Source organism: Homo sapiens, chromosome 5, assembly GCF_000001405.40.
Source record: "Homo sapiens chromosome 5, GRCh38.p14 Primary Assembly".
Taxonomy (NCBI): Eukaryota; Metazoa; Chordata; class Mammalia; order Primates; family Hominidae; genus Homo; species Homo sapiens.
In genome coordinates, this window is record NC_000005.10 from 6,063,001 (window position 1) to 6,082,069 (window position 19,069).

A 19,069-nucleotide genomic window follows, 5' to 3' on the forward strand; every position below is an offset into this window, starting at 1 on the left:
GCCTCCCTCTGGATTCTTGCTGAGCTTAAACTCAATTAGATCTTGTGCTCTTTCTTCTTGTTTATGCTATTGTCAAGACAGCTCTTTCCAAACTATGCTTACATAGTTTCATTTTATTTGTTTGTTTTTACCTCTTAAATTGCATTAACTGGTTATTCTAGAATGTCTATTGTTATACAAATAAGCCCTTCTTTTGCGGCCAGGTGTCTGAAAAAATAATAAGAAAGAACTGAAATATTTTTTCTTTACTTCATGGCTTAACCTGTAGTGTTTATCATGGGCTTGGTATTCCTCAGATGTGTAAGAAAAGAAAAGAATTTTTTATTAAACTATTTTTGAATTCTTCATTATGCTAATAATCACTGTCAAAATTGTTAGATAACCTACATTAAATGAAGCAATTCTTTGAAAGACACAATATTTCAAAACCATCACAAAAAGAAATAGACAATCTGAACAGGCCTATATTTATTAAAGAAATTGAATCAATAATTTTTCACCTTCCAAAACAAAAGCATCAGGCACTGATAGGTTCACAGGTGAATTCTACCAAAGGCTTAAGGAAGAAATTATATCAATTCTCTTAGAGAATTAGAAATAGAAAAAATAGATACAAAGTGAAAGGTTCCTAGCTCATTCTATGGAGCCAGAATTACCCTAATAACAAAACCAGACAAAGACATTTCAAAAAAAGAAAACTATAAACCAATACCTCTCATGAATATGGATGCAAAAGTCCTCACCAAAATATTAACAAAATGAATCCAATGATGTATAAACAGAATTATACACTATGACCAAGTGGGATTTATCTCAGAAATGCAAGGCTAGTTCAACATTTGAAAATCAATTAATGTAATTCATCACATAACTGAAAAAAAGAAAAATTATATGTTCATATCAATAGACACAGAAAAAGCATTGACAAAACCCAACATCTACTCATGATGTTATAAAAATCCAGTGAACTTAAGAATAGAGGGAAACTTCCTCAACTTCATAAAGAATGGCTACAAAAATCTGCAACTAACATCATACCTCATAGTGAGAAACTATTAATAGAAGCTTTCCCACTGAGATCAGGAACAAGGAAAGGATGTCCTCTCTCATCACTCCTTTGCAACATTACTATGGAAGTCCTAGATAATGTAATAAAAAATATGAAAGTATGCAGATTCTTAAGGGTGAGGGGAAACCATTGTTGTTCACAGATGACATAATTGTCTTTGTAGAAAATCCCAAAACAAATAAACAAAAAAGGCCTTGGAACAAATAAGCCAATATAGCAGGGTTGCAGGATATAGGGTTAATATACAAAAGTAAATTACTTCCCTATGTGCTAGCAAATAACACATGGAAATCAAAAACAATATTGTTTATATTAGCACCAAAAAAAAAAAAAACACTTAGGGATAAATCTAGCAAAATCTACATGAAGAAAACAAAACTTGAATAAAATAAATCAAAGAACTAAATGGAGAGATATTCCAAATTGATGAATAGCAAGACTCAATATTATCAAGATGTCAGATTGAAGATTCAATGTATTCTTCTATAGATCCAATGCATTCTTAATCAAAACCCCAACAAATTATTTTGCAAATACAGACAAGCTGATTCTAAAGTTTATATGGAGAGGCAAAATATCAAGAATAGCCAACAAAATATCGAAGAAAAAGAACAAAATCAGAGGACTGACACTACCTGACTTCATGACTTATCAGTAATCAAGAAAGTATAATATTAGTCAATAAATAAATAAAGAGATCAAGAAAAAAAAGCCCAGAAAGACACTTATAAATACAGTAAACTATACAGATATCATAAACTAATATAAGTAAACACTTATAAATATACTAAATACTTATAAATATAATAAAGTAGTATTTGACAAAGATGCAAAGGCAATACAATGGCACAAAGATAGTTTTTTCAACATATAATATTAGAACAACTTGACATCCACATGCAAAACAAAAAAGGAATCTAGGCACAGATCTTATCCCTTTCACAAAAATTAACTCCAAGTCAATTACAGACCTAAGTATAACATGTAAATATATAAAACTCCTAGAAGATAACACAGGAGAAAATCTAAATGGCTTTGGGTATGGCAATGGCTTTTTCAATGCAACACCAAAAGCACAATTTGTGAAAGAAATAATTACTAAGCTGGACTTCATTAATATTGAAAACTTCTACTCTATGAAAGACAATGTAAAGAAAATGAGAAGACAAGCCACAGACTGGAGAAAATATTTGCAAAAGTTATATTGGAAAAAGAACTCCTATCCACAATGCAAAGAACTCTTAAAATTCAACAGTAATAAAACAGCCCAATTAAAAAACAGTCCAACGTCCTTAACAGATACCTCATCAAAGAAGTTATAACTATATAGATAACAAATAAGTACATGAAAAGATGCTTCATTTCAAATGTCACTGGGAAAATGAAAATTAAAACCACAATGAGATACCACTGTACCTATTAGAGCGTCCAAAATCTGGAACATTGACAACACTAAATGCTGGCGAGGATGTGGAGCAACAGGAACTCTCATTCATTGCTGGTGGGAATGCAAAATGGTACAGGCACTGTGGAAGACAGTTTGGCAATTTCTTACAAAACTAAACAAATTCTTACCATACACTCCAGCAGTTGTGCTCCCTGGTAGCTACCCAAAAGAGTTTAAACTGTGTATCCACACAAAATCCTACAGAAGGATGTTTATAGCAGTTTTATACATAATGTCCCAAACTTGGAAGCAAACAAAATGTCCTTCAGTAGGTGAATGGATAAATAAACTGTGATACATTTTGGACAATAGAGTATTATTCAGCACTCAAAATAAATGAGCTATCAAACCATGAAAATCACAGAGAAGCCTTAAATGCATATTAGTAAGCAAAAGAAGCCATTCTGAAAAGGCTGCATATGGTATGGTCCAACTACATGATATACTGAAAAAGGCAAAACTTTGGAGACAGTAAAAAGATCACTGGTTGTCAAGGGTTAGAAGAAGGGAAGGATGAATAGTTGAAGTACACTCAGGTTCCAATCAAATCACACTTAGTATTCCATGCTTACTTAATACAGTGTGGTCTGATGCCCTGTCTCATAGCAGATGGGAAGCACAGAAGCAGGGGAAATACAGCAGACTTTCACAGGAGGAACAGTGACAGGCAGGGAGGTGGTCACCAACAACCTCACACTGGGAGAAGCAGCCAGGAGCCCAGGGGCACACATGGCTCTGTGTGAACACATCTATCATAATGAACGTGCACATCAGGGAAAGGTTAAAGCCAGTTCTGCAGCTGCTGCCTAAGAAGGCAGGAAAACACTTAATGCATTTTTGGAGAGACATATCCACAAAAGATGAAAAGAAATATTAGTGCAGGAGGGGGTGCACATCAGAGAATGGAAGATTAATTCTTACGAAAATGCCATTTCCTGATAATACTGCATGAATCTGGTATTTTATAGAATACATCTGCTGTTTTGCTTGCAGAATTGGATAAGGTTTACTTGAACAATGGGAGAATATGCTAATTGTCTTATTGTGTGTCTTCATTGCTGGACTCAGGTTGGCGAGGTGGTTTTTAAGACGTTTCTGACCTCAGTCATTGGTAAGGGACTTTATTCTACTGTCATCCTGTCATCTTTATGCAGAAGATTGCTAAAGAGATTTTTGCTTAGATAGATTGATTAGAACAGCTGAGCTGAAGCAACTTGATTAGAATATAGATGGTCACATGCCGTTTTTCATAGCAGCCTTGCAGTGTGCCTCTTTCTATGCATGGTTTCCCCTGCTTTGAAATTCTTCATGCTTTCCTGGGACATTGTGATGGGACACTTGATCAGCTGATCCTGGGGCTGGGTTCATGGAGGTCGTGCTTTTAGATCACCCTGCATAAGGCCACCCTGCATAAGGCTACCTGACTGGGAGTCCCTTGGGTAATCAACATGCAGAAGAATGGTAGAGAAAGCCTACACGCACTCCAGGTATGCCCACATTAGGTATAAACGTCTCATGTGTAAATGTACCAGCTGGGTTAGGCCAAACAAGCCTTCATTAAAATATATCTGCTCTGTATTATTCCAACACATAAGCCAGGCTTGCTCAGATTGCATTTTTTCAAATTCTGGGAAAAAAAAAGTGCATCAAGATACTGTGAAGGGTCTTCAGAAAGTTCATTAAAAATACAAATTATTTTAAAAATCTAGGCATAGATTTAAAAAATTTTTTGCACCAAAATAAACTTGTACGAACTTGTTATAATATGTCTAAACAGAATCTAGTTTGAGGTACTAAGAAGGATAAGACATCAGTTTGATAAGCGCCCCTGTCAGAGCAACATGAATTCAGCTACAACTGAATTAAGAACAAGCACCAAATTTATGAAGAAGCTTGGAAAAACAGTGAAATCATTTATGCTCTACAAAAAAATGTATGAGACCATAGTGCCCTAAAGAAATTAGCACTTTACAAATGGATAGCTTATTTTAGGAAGGAAGCGGGTGATGTTGAAGATGAAACCCACAGCAGCAGACCACCCACATCATTTTTTTTTCACTTGTTTTGGTTTTACTAGAGGCTCAGGTGGCCACATCAGTTTCTGAGGAAAAAAAAAAAAACATTGTTCATAATCTAATTGAAGTGGACTGACAAGTAACAGCAGAAACAACAGCCAACACTATAGACATCTCAACTGCTTCAGCTTACACAATTCTGACTGAAAACTAAAAGTTTAGCAAAGTTTCCGCACAATGGTTGCCAAAACCATTGTGTCCAGATCAAGCTGCAGACAAAGCAGAGCTTTCAATGGAAATTTTAACCAACTGGGACCAAGATTCTGAAGTATTTGTTTGAAGAATTGTAACAGGAAATGAAACATTGCTTTACCAGTATGATCCTGAAAACAAGGCACAATCCAGCAATGGCTACCAGGAAGTGGAAGTGGCCCAGTCAAAGCAAAGGAAGATTTGTTGAGAGCAACGGTCAAGGTAACGGTTTTTTCGGATGCTCAATGCATTTTACTTATTGACTTTCTGAAGGGTCAAAGAATACATCTCCTTATCAGGACAGTGTTTTGAGAAAGATAGCCAAAGCTTTAGCAGAGAATCACCGGAGAAAGCTTCACCAGAGCATCCTTCCCCACTACAACAATGCTTCTGCTTATTCTTCTCATCAAACAATGGCAATTTTTAAAAAGTTTTGATGGGAAATCATTAGGTATCCAGCTTAACAGTCTTGATTTGGCTCCTGATTTTTGTTTTAATTGAGGCAGAGTCTTGTTCTGCTGCCCAGGCTGGAGTGCAGTGGCGCAATCTCGGCTCACTGCAACCTCCGCCTCTAGGGTTCAAGCGATTCTCCCACCTCAGCCTCCTGAGTAGCTGGGATTCCAGGCATGCACCACCATGTCTGGCTAATTTTTGTATTTTTAGTAGAGACAGGGTTTCACCATGTTGGCCAAGCTGGTCTTGAATTCCTGGCCTCAAGTGACCCACCCGTGTCAGCCTCCCAAAGTGCTGGGATTACAGGTGTGAGACGCCACGCCCAACCCTGATTTGGCTTATTTTGACTTCTTCTTTTCCATTATTAAAAAAAAAAAATCTCTAAAGGGCAATAATTTTTCTTCAGTTAATAATGTAAGAAAGACTGCATTGACATGGTTAAATCCCCAAGATTCTCAGTTCTTTAGGGATGGACTGCATGTCTGGCCTCTTCTTCCAATGTGGGATTGTCAGTGACCACCTCCCTGCCTGTCATTGAGCCTCCCGCAATAGCCTGCTGGATTTCCCCTGCTTCTGCGCTTCTTCTCTGCTGTGAGACAGGGCACCAGACCATGCTGCATATTAAGTAAGCATGGCATACTAAGTGTGATTTGATTGAAATCTGAGTGAAGGCTCAGGCTTTTAGGGAGCTGTTTTAGGGATATTAAAGATCTCTTTGGTTTTTCTTTGAGAGTAGGCATGTCCCATAGGAATGAGGATGGGAGGACCTCCAATTAACAGGGTTATGACCATCCACCAAAGCTACACATCTGAGAAGTTGAAGAAATACTGGTGCCTGATTCCACCTTGGAAGATCAAAATTTAATTGGGTTAAACGGAAACCTGAAGGTCATGACTTTTTAAAGCCTATGAGGTAAAAATATGCACTTGGCTCTGAGCACCTTGGTGCTAGAACAGGACTTCTGCGGAAAATAGGATCTTAATGACAGGAATAAGTCTGGTCTAGGTGGTGGTTGTACTTCATGGGTGTAATGGATTGAATCATGTCTCTCCAAAAAGTTTTCATGTTGAAGTCCTCACCCCCAGAACATCAGAATGTGACCTTATTTAGAAACAGAGGGTTTTTGTAGATATAATTAGTTAAGATGAGATCATACTGGAGTAAAGTTGGCCTCTAATCCAATATAAATATGTCCTTATAAATTGGACACAAAGACATACACTCAGGGAAATCGCAAATGAAGAGGAAGGCAGAGAACTACAAGCCAAGAAAAGCCAAAGATTTCTAGCAAGCCACCAGAGGCTGGGAGAGAGGCATGGAACAGATTTCTTCATCATAGCTCTCACAAGAAACTAAATTTGCTGACTCCTTGATCTCAGACTTTGGGCTTCCAGAACCGTGAAGCAATAAAATTCTGTTGTTTAGGCAACCCAGTTTGTGGCATTTTGTTATGGCAGCCCAAGCGAACTAAAACAATAAGCATGGCTATAAATTCTCAGAATTTGCATCCCGAATGAGCATGAGACACACTCCTTTATTGAGCATCTGCTGTAGATCAAATCCAATAAAGGTGTTGAGAGAACACGCTACTGATTCAAAAGGAAAAGAGGGAGCTTTGTTTCTAAATTCACCTGGTAATTTTTGTCTCACATAATCAAGTCAGATTGCTTTACAGATAGGCAAAGCACAATGGGAGTAAGGACTCCAAACACAAAATCTATAGTGACACTCCTTCCTCTGATTTGCATGTGCAAATAGCATGGGGAGCTGTGTGTTTAACTAATTCATAGTCATAAATGTAAAATGTACTGAAATTTGCATTGCAAAATATTCTTGCTCCAGATGCTGAGTTTATGAGAATTTCTGTTGCTTTTTAAATTACAATCTTACAAAGATTCTAGGAGATCAGATATTACTGAGTCTATTCCATTTTAGGATCAATGCAAAGCTGTATTTTAGACTAGTTGTATATGTAAGATAATTTTGCAGTTTCCAATATAACCACTGGCCTTTAGTAAAATGTATCTTCCACATAAATCTTTACTTGTTAACGTTTTATGAAAGTTAGTGTAGAGATACAATTTTCAAGTGTGTTTGAATAAAACAGGAGCCACTTTAGATAAATTAAAACAAAGTCTTTTTCTCAAGGAAAAAATAGAAAAGCTGACATTTCATACAACAGCAACACTTTTGCTGTTTTTCTCTAGACATTTTACCCGTTACTGATGTATAATAAACAAGAGATATCGTTGAAGTCCAAATAACTTTTTTTTATAATATTTGCTGCTCAAACTTTTTCAAGCATATCATTTGAATGGAAGAAGGTACTAGAATTGTTAAGAAAAGACAAAATTGGGAAGCTTGTGAGATGCAGACTCATGGGCTGGAATGTATCCCAAGAGCTCCTGGGATTTAGAAGATGTTAGGACATTGGGCCCCAGGGTAAGGGAACCCTCCATGACCCAACTCTCCTATGTCTGAAGTACATGAGCCTCCCTGAGTGGCTCATTGGATGAGCCAGGGGTTTTGTCCAGTATGCAAGTGAATCAGTCAGGATCATAAAGTGACTACACACAATTTCACACAGTCCATGATGAAATAAAGTAAGTTACAGACACTGTGATAACCAGGATCTGGGTACCCTTTGACTTTTATCTAAGTGTTTTGAGTTAAGATAACTGACTGATAATACTACATTTCTTTAGAAGCTTCTTTGTTATTAAACGTTTTCACTGTCTTAGCCAGGAATGGAGTATCCTAATGTATGAGTTAGACCATACAGGGACCAAACCAGCAGGAGCATTCTAGAGCTCTGACAGAGGTGCATGGATTCTGGGAGGAAGGCAGGGGCACTTCAGAGTAAGACAATAAGTTCATCATCAGCCTTTCTCTTTCTTTACCATGGGCTTAAACTTAGCAACTGCTCCCATCAATGTTTTGTTTTTTGTTTTTTTGAGATGGATTTTTGCTCTGTCACCCAGGCTGGAGTGCAATGGCAGGATCTTGGCTCACTGCAACCTCCGCCTCTCAGGTTCAAAGAATTCTCCTGCCTCAGCCTCCCAAGTAGCTGGAATTACAGGCGCCCACCACCACGCCCAGCTAATTTTTTGTATTTTTGGTGGAGACAGGGTTTCACAATGTTGGCCAGGCTGGTTTCAAACTCCTGACCTCAGATGATCCAGCCAGCTTGGCCTCCCAAAGTCCTGGGATTACAGGCATGAGCCACCACTGCTCCCGTCAGTGTTGAATCACTTTCTGGAGACAAAATCAGTTCACTGTATTGAACCTAATTTTAATGTTGGTTCTCTTTTCTCGGACAAGTTATAAGGGTTCCTGCCCTAGTTCCAGCCTTGGTGTCCCTGCATTCATGTAATATTCCAGAGTCTGTAAAGGATAATCTCTCCATTCCATTTCAGGTTGGTATCATTGGCAGTCTATTGATGAAGTGCCCACTAGGCACAAAGGACTATAGTCAACATTGGGAAAACAGGAAGCTGAACATATGATCATTGCTCTCAATAAGGGGTTGAGACATCCCACACAAAAGCACAATTTGAGGGAGTGAGTGATAAATCTCTATGAAGGGGATATGCAGAAGTGAAGTTGAAGGTCAAAGAATGGTGATGAGAACAGTCACACCGTCTCCCTGGCATCAGTTTCCTTTCCTCTTACATGAAAGTCTCCGGCATACATTGAGGAGCTCCACAGCCCTGGGAAACGATTCCAGTTCCAGGGTCCAGGGGTGGAGCCCACACCCAGATCAAGCCCTGCCGCCTGTGCCCATGGACACAGGAGTTGGTTGAGGCGTAGGTCTGTTGGTGGGGTAAGGGGGGGTCATCTGCTTAAGTCTTTCCAGGTAGAAGAAACCTCAGGACTTTGCTGAGAATGCTGGGACAATGGCATTTGTCCTCTGCTCATTGGGAATAAAGAACACATGGCTCTGAAGCTGTTGTCAGTTCTTTCGGGAATGTGGGAGAACCTGCCTAAGGGAATTGTTGGGAAACATAGAGACAGAAACTGCCTGCACTGCCATCAGTGGAGCCCTGGAAAGCATTATGCGGGGCTCTGTTCTTCCCCTGGACTGCCCACCTGCTCAGTTATTTAAGCCAGGGTTAGGAAGGCTTTTTCTTTTTTTAAAAAATTATACTTTAAGTTCTGGGATACATGTGCAGAACATGCAGGTTTGTTACGTAGGTATACACGCGCCATGGTGGTTTGCTGCACCCATCAACCCTTCACCTACATTAGGTGTTTCTCCTAATGTTATCCCTCCTCTAGGCCCCCACCCCCGACAGGCCCCAGTGTGTGATGTTCCCCCTGCTCGTGTTCTTGTGTTCTCATTGTTCATCTCCCACTTTTGAGTGGGAACACGTGGTGTTGGTTTTCTGTTCCTGTGTTAGTTTGCTGAGAATGATGGTTTCCAGCTTCATCCATGTCCATGAAAAGGACAGGAACTCATGCTTTTTTATGGCTGTATAGTATTCCATGGTGTATATGTGCCATATTTTCTCTATCCAGTCTATCATTGATGGGCATTTGGGTTGGTTCCAAGTCTTTGCTATTGTGAATAGTTCTGCAATAAATATACACATGCATCTCACGTCAGTTAGAATGGCAATCATTAAAAAGTCAGGACAACAGATGCTGGAGAGGATGTGGAGAAATAGGAACACTTTTACATTGTTGGTAGGAGTGCAAATTAGTTCAACCATTGTGGAAGACAATGTGGTAATTCCTCAAGGATCTAGAACCAGAAATACCATTTGACCCAGCCATCCCATTACTGGGTATATGCCCAAAGGATTATAAATCATTCTACTATAAAGGAAAGCTTTTTCTATAAAGCATCAGATAATAAATATTTTTAGCTTTGTGTATCATGCAGTATCTGTTGCAGCTACTCAACTCTGCCATTGCATTGGGAAAGCAATCCTGGAAATTATATAAAGGAAGGCATGTTGGTATGTTTCATAAAACTTATTTATGAACACTAAAATCTGAATTTCATATAATTTTCATGAGTTATGAAATATTGTTCTTCTTTGGACTTTTTTTCCACCCACCAGAAAGCATAAGTCATCCTTAGGTCATGAGCTTTACAAAAACAGGCAACAGGCCAGATTTGTCCTATGGACTATAGTTTGCTCTGACCCTTGATGTAATGCAATAAATTCCTATCTTTTTTTATTTTGAGGGGAAAGTTATGTGTTCCATTATGCACAATCTAAAACATCCTAACGGAAAATGAAGACTTCATTAAAAAGGGGACATTTAAACCACATTTTCAGAAATCAGTAGAATTTGGACATGAAAATACAGTACAAAGAAATGACATGAGAAAATAAAGAGATTAAAAAATGCTCATGCTAGAAGTAAAGTTTGTTTTCTAGGGGGATATAAATGCACGGACCCACCAACACACAAGGAAATCATATGACCATAAAATTTGGGAATTTCTGAATCTTGTGTATTTTCTTGGAAATACAGCGTCCATTAACATATTAAATTCTCTGAGAAGTTCTGGGTAAAGAAACACTCTGTTTATCTTTGTTTAGCCGAGAACTTTCCAAGCATATTTGTTGATGAAACAACATTTTGGTGGCCTACCTGTTAGTCTCACTTAGAACAGTACTCAGGGTATACCAACACGAGCACCCTGAAAGTGAGTGATATGTTTGGACAGGTCCAGTGAGGACATTGACAGTTCCCATTTAAATGAAAGAAGTGTTAAACCTAAACAAGCAGAATAGACACCATGGATGCCCCAACCAGACAGGACCTTATTACAAAACTTCAGAGAGGAGGTAATGAGAACCTGAACTACACAAATCTGTATCTGAAATAGAAAGAAAAGGAGCAAGATCAGATTTAGAGGACAAGGGGGAGAGACTGGTCAAAATAACCAGACCCTTAGCCTAGAAGACTGAAAATGAAAAGAGAAACAGATTTCATGAAGTAAGTTTAGATTTGTTACATCGACTCTGAGCTATTTATTGGACAGCTGAAGTACCTGGTGGGCCTTCAGAAGAGAAACCACGAAGAATGTTGGGGACTTGCTCATCATCTACCTAGAGATGATGGTTAAGACCCAAGACCATGTGCAATCACTAAAAAGGATGGGAAGAAAAGGCAATTAATGAAGATTCACACACATCTTTAAGGGAAGGGAGGCAAATTTGGTCAAAAAGGTAGAAAGAGTACCATGAACACTATGGCCACATTGTTGCCAGGAAAGGGGTTCCCAATTCAGACCCCAAGAGAAGGTTCTGGAATCTCACACAAGAAAGAATTCAAGGCGAGTCACAGAGTGCAGTGAGAAGAGAGAGTATATTGAAAGCCACTCCATTACAGGGTAGGGCATCCTCAGAAATCAGGTAGAGGAACACACCAACCTCGTTTTAAGCTCTTCTTATATAGGAGTTGTCTATGTGAAGACTAAACCAAGTTGTGCCTATGTGTGGGTGGGCCGACAGCATGACAAAATTTATTATTTTTATTAATTTAAAGAAAACTATCATTGACATTTTAGTGTGTAAGTACATCAAAGCATAACTATAATTATCTGAAAGCATCTATTGTTATGGGCATTGGGACATCTGCACTTTCTGTTGTCCTGGAAGTTTGTCCTTGCAGGCATTCTAAGCTGCTTAGTTGGCTGTAAACATCATAGGACCATGGGTCGTAACTGGCGAGGAATGTGCCTTGCTACTTTTAAGATGAAGTTGATTTTAAAATAGTGTCACTCTAGCTCTCCTAGGCTCCTGCTTTCCGAACAGCATAAGCCAAAAGGGACAGTTTAAGAAGGAGAAACTGGTCAAACATGTCAAGAATAGAGAAAGGATAGGCAGGACCAAAAGACGGCCCTTCAGTGAACTTCTGAGAAATTCCTTTAGGGCAGTGAGAGCAGAAGCCCAGTTGCAAAGGAAGCCATGGTCAGTGGGCGGGGAGAGAAGGCATCTGGGGGACAGAGTTTCACTATTCCTTTTAGAAAGTTGGCAATGAAAACAATGGAAGAAATTCCACGGACTTTTGTGGGGAAAAATAAATGCATTCCATGGGAAAAGCTATTTAAGAAAAGAGAGAAGAGAGCAGTTGATGAAAGTGAAGTAATGAATGAAGATAAAAAAGGAACATGGGAGGGAGGTAGGAGGTGCAGAAGGGAGATAAAGGAAGCCCAGCAGAGCCATTGCCTCAACAGTGAGGACAGAGAAACAGAGCAGGAGACAGCTGGATTGAGACGGAGCACCAGACACATGGCATGGTTCTCATCTTCATGAACTGAGGAGCAGAGGCATTTTTGCACATGGAAGGGAGTAGCCATGGGTGCTATGGAGAGGAAATGGGCTCCGACCTCTCATATGCAGGGTAAATGTCTCCTTATCTGTGCAACTGAGACAATGATCCAAAGGCATGGCCCACAAGATGTAATAAATGCTGACTACATTGGCTACACAGTCAAACCTCAGTAAATTTTAGCTTCTGTCTTTCCATCTGCCTTTCCTTCTTCCCTCCTCCTTTCTATGTTCATTTCTTCTCCCTTCCTATTTTCCTCTTCCCTCTTTTCTTCATTCTTTCCATGGAGAGGAAAAGTTTGCAACATCCACGGTTGACGATATTACAGGGAATGCATTAATGATCTCTTTCTTCAGTCTTTCCCCAAGTCATACCCTCCCAACCAAACACACATGGCTACTGAGATGCTTCATTGCCTTCCTTTTATATTTCCTATGTATTTACCCATAGCCTTCCTGCCAGTTCAGTTTCATAAGTAAACTCCAACATCTGAGGGCTCTGAGTGTGCTTAAGTGCATCATAGCCACCATCCCGGCTGTGGGAAGAATCCCAGGAAAATATTCCAGGCAAATTAAAACCCATTCTCTTTCTAAAGACTTCCAGCAAAGGCTGATTAATAATTCATTCTGATCTTTAATAACTGTCTGTGTTAAGAAATCTTTCCTATAGATCTTCTAAATCCTGCCTGCTGCTGTGGGAATGGGAGCCTTTGAATAGTTGTGGTTAATTACTGGAGGCACCCATTTCTACTGAGATTCTTTTGCCAATAATTATTTATGAAAAGTGTGACCAGTGCACAGACCAAGTCAAATCCTCTTCTACAATTTGTTTCTCCCCTTTCAGCAAAGGTAATTGACACAGTTTCACAGAAGGCATCTAAGCTCTATGTAAGTGTGCATGAAATTCTGATACACACTGCAGTTCAACTCCCCACACTGTGAAAGAAAGCTCCCAGAGTTTGTCAAGAGCCCATGGCTCATTGGTGTAATTCTACATAAAGAAAAGAAACGTGCAAGTGTTCCAGATTCACTCAATATTCACTGCTTGCCAAGTCCTTTGCTGTTCACGAGGGCTACCCAGCAGGGCTTCTCCGTATATTATCAGGCAATGAATAAAACAAGAAAATGAATTACTCTATAAAATGCAGCCCAGCTTGGGATGGCATCAATTCCATTTTTGAAGGTGAAGAATCAGAAACCCATTTCTTAAACTTTGTCCATTTTCTCAGCTACCATCTGCGGAAAGTGGGGACGTTGCAGGACAAGATGTTGCCAGGTCTATGTGCTGGGTGGTTCAGGAGCAACTCCATCCACACTGTTGGTTTTGCCTGAGTCTATTTGCTTTTGGTTGATCAAAGTCTTGTAGTCATGTTTGAAACATCATCCATACTCTGTTTCTTTGTTATACTCCACAGCATTCTTGGCATCATCATGGCAACAAGATCGAATGCAGAACCCCCTCATCCTTCCCCTCAACATAGGCTGTCTCCTATGCCCCAAGCTCCTGCAGCTGAGGCTTTCACTGCTGCCTGTACATGTCCACACGGTTGCAATCAAGTTCATGCCTTTGTTCAGGGGCTGCATTTCTAATCAGTTCCCAGGTTGGGGCAATGCTGCTGGCCAATGCTGCTTTCATTTTGAGATGCAAGCTTCTAGATGCTCCAATTGGCCAAAATAAAATGAAATATGTGTTTAAGACATAAGCTCTTGAAATATGCATTTAGGGGATATCAAGCATAATATCAACTTTACATAAAAATTCAACTCTCTTATTACAAACTTAGCATCATCAAATAAATCATCTTTTTTTTCCCAAAGAAATTCTGAGATACCCTAGGACAGCCATGCTCAAGTCTAGTTGCACATTACAGGCATCTGGAAGGTGACAGGAAGGAGGAAGACATTTTAAAAATACAAATGCCCCAACCACACTCCTAAACAAGCTAAAGCACAATACCTGCAGGGAAGACACAGGCTTCATCTGGACAAAAGCTCCCCAGGAGACTCAATATGAAGTCAAGCTTAGGATCCACTGAACTGGCACCTCATTTTACCTTTGCCCATGACTTGACAGAAATTACACTATGCAGTCTACATCAGATATTGAAAGCAAAGTAACTTCCCAATGCTAGTTACCCAAACCACCTAGTTATGGGTAAACTTTCTCTTAATAATTCCTAACTGATGCTTTTCCAAAAACTCTGCCTCTACTTACAGAATAACCCAGATAATTTTCCCTGAAAATCCCAATATTTAATTTTGCCACTGTAGTGTTGGATAAAATATATTAAAAAATTGAATTATAATTTACAGGCATCTGTTTTTATTTTAATCTTGCAATTTTCTATTTCTTAACAGTATCTGAATATTCTTTGCTCTCCTTAGAAGAAAGATACTAATTTTAAAGGTCTGTCACTGATAATAGGTTTGAATCCATGCACAAAGAGCTTCCCTAAATGATCTCAGGAGAGAGTTTTATAAATGACTGGGGGTATTGATCCTGCTATCTTCTCTAGTTGAGCCAGAACCCCCTTAAGTGAAATGTGACCTAGATCAGGGCAATTATAGCAGAAGGTTAAGTCACCATTCAGCTGCCAGAGCCTTGGGACAAGAGCAATATTTTGCTTTTCTGATGCGACAGGAACAAGCATAGCCTGAGAGAAGAGTGTTGATGTGCAAAGATCCTGCAATTTCACTCCAGGTACATACCCAGGAGAACTGAAAATCAAACAAGTTCACATACACACGTGTATAGCAGTACTCCTCACAATAGCCATGTTAGCTAAACTCAGCCCCTCACCAACTGCACCCAAACGTCTTGTGGCCAAGAGGACCCCAAAAAACCTTCAAACTGAGCTCCTGGCCATGATGGGACAGAAGGTCGGACATGTCTCGTTATACCGCCTTCCTGTTACAGTTTAGACACAACAACTGACCAACATTAATGTTAAAATGGAGATCATAAGACTGACAGAACAGACTCTGTGGCAACAAGATACCAAATTATAAACAGGACCCAAGGCCATACCAGGCAAATGTTAAATCACACACCCCCATACTTAAAGAATAAACTATATTCTAACCAACACACATTTTTTCTTTTTCTCTAGCAGTTAAACAAGCACTGGCCATGACATAAAACAATACTAAAACAATTGTAGCCCAACTTGCTCAGGAACGTGAACTCACTCCCTGTTCCAGCAGCCATAGCTGCAGCTTTTTTTGGACAAGAGACTGATTTCTGTTAATTTTCTCCTAATAAGAAGACCACCGACTATGGACCAGTTCTGACAGGGTTACAGAGACCACGCACTTGCACGCTTCTGTATCCTGAAAAGACCTCTTGACATATAGAGCCTAACTGTAATACATTTAAATGTTAAGTCTCCACCCCAAAGTGAGCATGGGTCATATGTTACATGCATGTGTGTAATACGTATGCATCAGGACCACCTCCATGAATATTCATAGGTCCTCCTGTCACCTGTTGAATATGTGTATTAGACAGCCCATTCAGCATAAAGCTCCTGCCCCAGCTCCTCCTCTGGTGTTGGCTGGAGCCCGTGCTTCCCAGCCTGCCGGATGGCCACCTTGCGGGCTGTAACCCTTTATAGGAAAAAAAGTCTCCTCTCCTTTTCTAAATTTATAGATTGCGTTATGTTTTTGTTAACAGCCAAAAGGCAGAAGCAGCCCAAATGTCCAGCAACAGATAGACAAATAAACACATTGTGGCACACACATGCAGTGTAATAGTATTCAGCCTTATAAAGGAGTGAAGTATGGCCAGGCGCAGTGGCTCACACCTGTAATCCCAGCACTTTGGGAGGCGGAGGCAGGCAGATTGCCTGAGCTCAGGAGTTCAAGACCAGCTTGGGCAACATGGTGAAAAGCTGTCTCTACTAAAATACAAAAAAATTAGACAGGCATGGCGGCATATGCTTATAATCCCAGCTACTCGGGAGGCTGAGGCAGGAGAATGGCTTGAACCTAGGAGGTGGAGGTTGCAGTGAGCCGAGATTGGGCCACTGTTCTCCAGCCTGGGCGACAGAGCGAGGCTCCATCACAAAAAAAAAAAAAAAAAAAAAAGGAGTGAAGTACTTACCACACTACAACGTGGATGACTCTCAGAAACATCAGTTAAGTGAAAGAAACCAGAACGAAAAAGTTACATGCTGTGTGATACCATTCATATGAAACATCCAGAGTAGATAAATCAAAAGAGACAGAATGCACACTGGAGGCTGTCGGGACTGCAGAAGAGGAATGGGAAGAAACTCTTTAATGGGTAAAGGGCTTTACTTTGGAGTGATGGAAATGTTTAAACTAGATAGAGGAGATGGTTGCACAGCATTGTGAACATACTAAATGCCTCTGGATTGCTCATTTTAAAATGGCTAATTTTTATGTGAAGTTGAATTTTTTTAATATGGAAGACATTTGGCATATCTGATGGTAATAAGGCTACGGAGAAAAATAAATCCAGGAAGGAGGATGGGCAATGCTGGTGAGAGTCACATATTCACATAGGGTGGCCAGAGAAATGTGTCTCTGAAAAGCTGAATTTGAGCAAACCCTAAGGGGCTGGGGAGAGAACCATGAGGATATCTCTGAAAAGACCACTCCAGGCAGAAGGAGGTGGGAGCACATCTGAAGAACAGCCAGGCAGCCAAGGTCAGAGACTCGGCTACACCTGCACTCGTGGCTCTAAGACGCTCACAAAGACTAGAGGGTCTTATGCTAGAAACCAAAGGAACTCCAGGATGAATCAAATAGAGGTTGGTGCAGTGGGAGAAAATGAGAAATAACCTAAATTACATGTAAAGCATTGAATTTAAATCTTGTTATAAACTGAGCTACAATACTTTTACAGTGTGATTAAAACTTATTACCTGTTATAATGACTTATTATAGAAACAGCATAATTAAGTTATAAGAACTTTAATATACATTGTTAATTTACCATGTTTATTGGAAATCAGTCTCTTCAGGGAAAAAGACCATAGCTCGGGTCTCGGGGATTCCTCTGGGGAGGAGCTTGCGCGGATGCCAGGGGCTCTGGGAGTCACACAGTAGACCCTGGGGCAACCAGAGAAACCCACCCTGCAGAGGGACGGTGTGTGTTAAGCCTCAGGGATTTTGTTGGTCAGGTTTTCCTAGAAGCGCCAGGAGCAGGCTCCCAAGGGGGAAGAACTTAGACTTTGGAGCCAGGAGACCTGGGTTCAACAACAGGCCCTGATACCCACTACCTGTGCCACCTTGGGCAGGTAATCGCACCCCACTGAGCCCCAGATACCTCATCTACATATTAAAACCATGTGGGACTACACACGCACACACAGAGATGCATGCATGCACACACACACAGATGCATGCACGCACACACACGGATGCATGCATGCACACACAGATGCACACGTGCACACAGACACACACATGCACACACACAGATGCACGCATGCACACACACAAATGCATCCATGTACATGGATGCACACACAGATGCATGCATGCACACACAGATGCATGCATGCGCACACACAGATGCACGCATGCACACAGATGCACACATGCACACACACAAAGATGCACGCATGCACACACACACAGATGCACGCATGCACACACACATACACACACACACACAGATGCACTCAAGCAGTGCGTCCATCCACCCAACAGCAAAATAGATGTCAAGTTTCAAACACCATAAACCTCCCAGAACTCCCAAGCTTCGTCTTACCTGCGCCTCCCAGCCTCTCCATTCTCTGCCTCTCTTCACCTCACCCCCTGCTCCACAGCCATCCTTCTCCATCTCTCTGACACCTACTCCCTGCATTTCTGTCTTACCCCCTGTCTCTTTCCTTCTCCTCTCCCAGATCCCTAGGTTCATCTCCTCCCCCAGGAAGCCAATGCCATCTGCCTGCTACTTAGAAATGGCTTCCCCTGCCCAATTCCATCCCATTTCCTCTGCTGCTCCTTTGCCAGGGACCTCTCTGAGGTTCTGTTCTAGGTCAAGGCAGCTCTCGGGCCTCCACTCTCTTAAGTAGCAGGTATTATTGAGAGCTCAGAAGCCAGAAGGGACCTAGGGCTGATCTGACTCAACCCCTAAAGATCCAGGAAGGTGATGCCATGTATTTACAGAATGACTATATTTAAGATAGCTTGACAAGATGAAAACTAAAGACAAGCAAACAAGCAAAACTGATTACATGGTGTATAATTCATATGGTTCGCCAGGTTTTTTGATTTGTTTGATTTTGTTTTTAATTGTTTGGCACTTTACATACTTCTCCTAGAGCAATGTTTCCAAAACTGGTCTGAAGATGAGTAGGTCCCAGCTCTATGCCCAGGAGGCCCACTCCGCACAGCTTCAGAGAGCTTGGAGGCACAAGGGATTACTGTGGCAGGTGCAGCTCAGGGGCTCACCACACAGGGCTCAGGCAGGGAATGGTGGTGATATGGTTTGGCTGTGTTCCCACCCACATCTCATCTTGAATCGTAGTTCCTGTAATCCCCATGTGTCATGGGAGGGACCCAGTG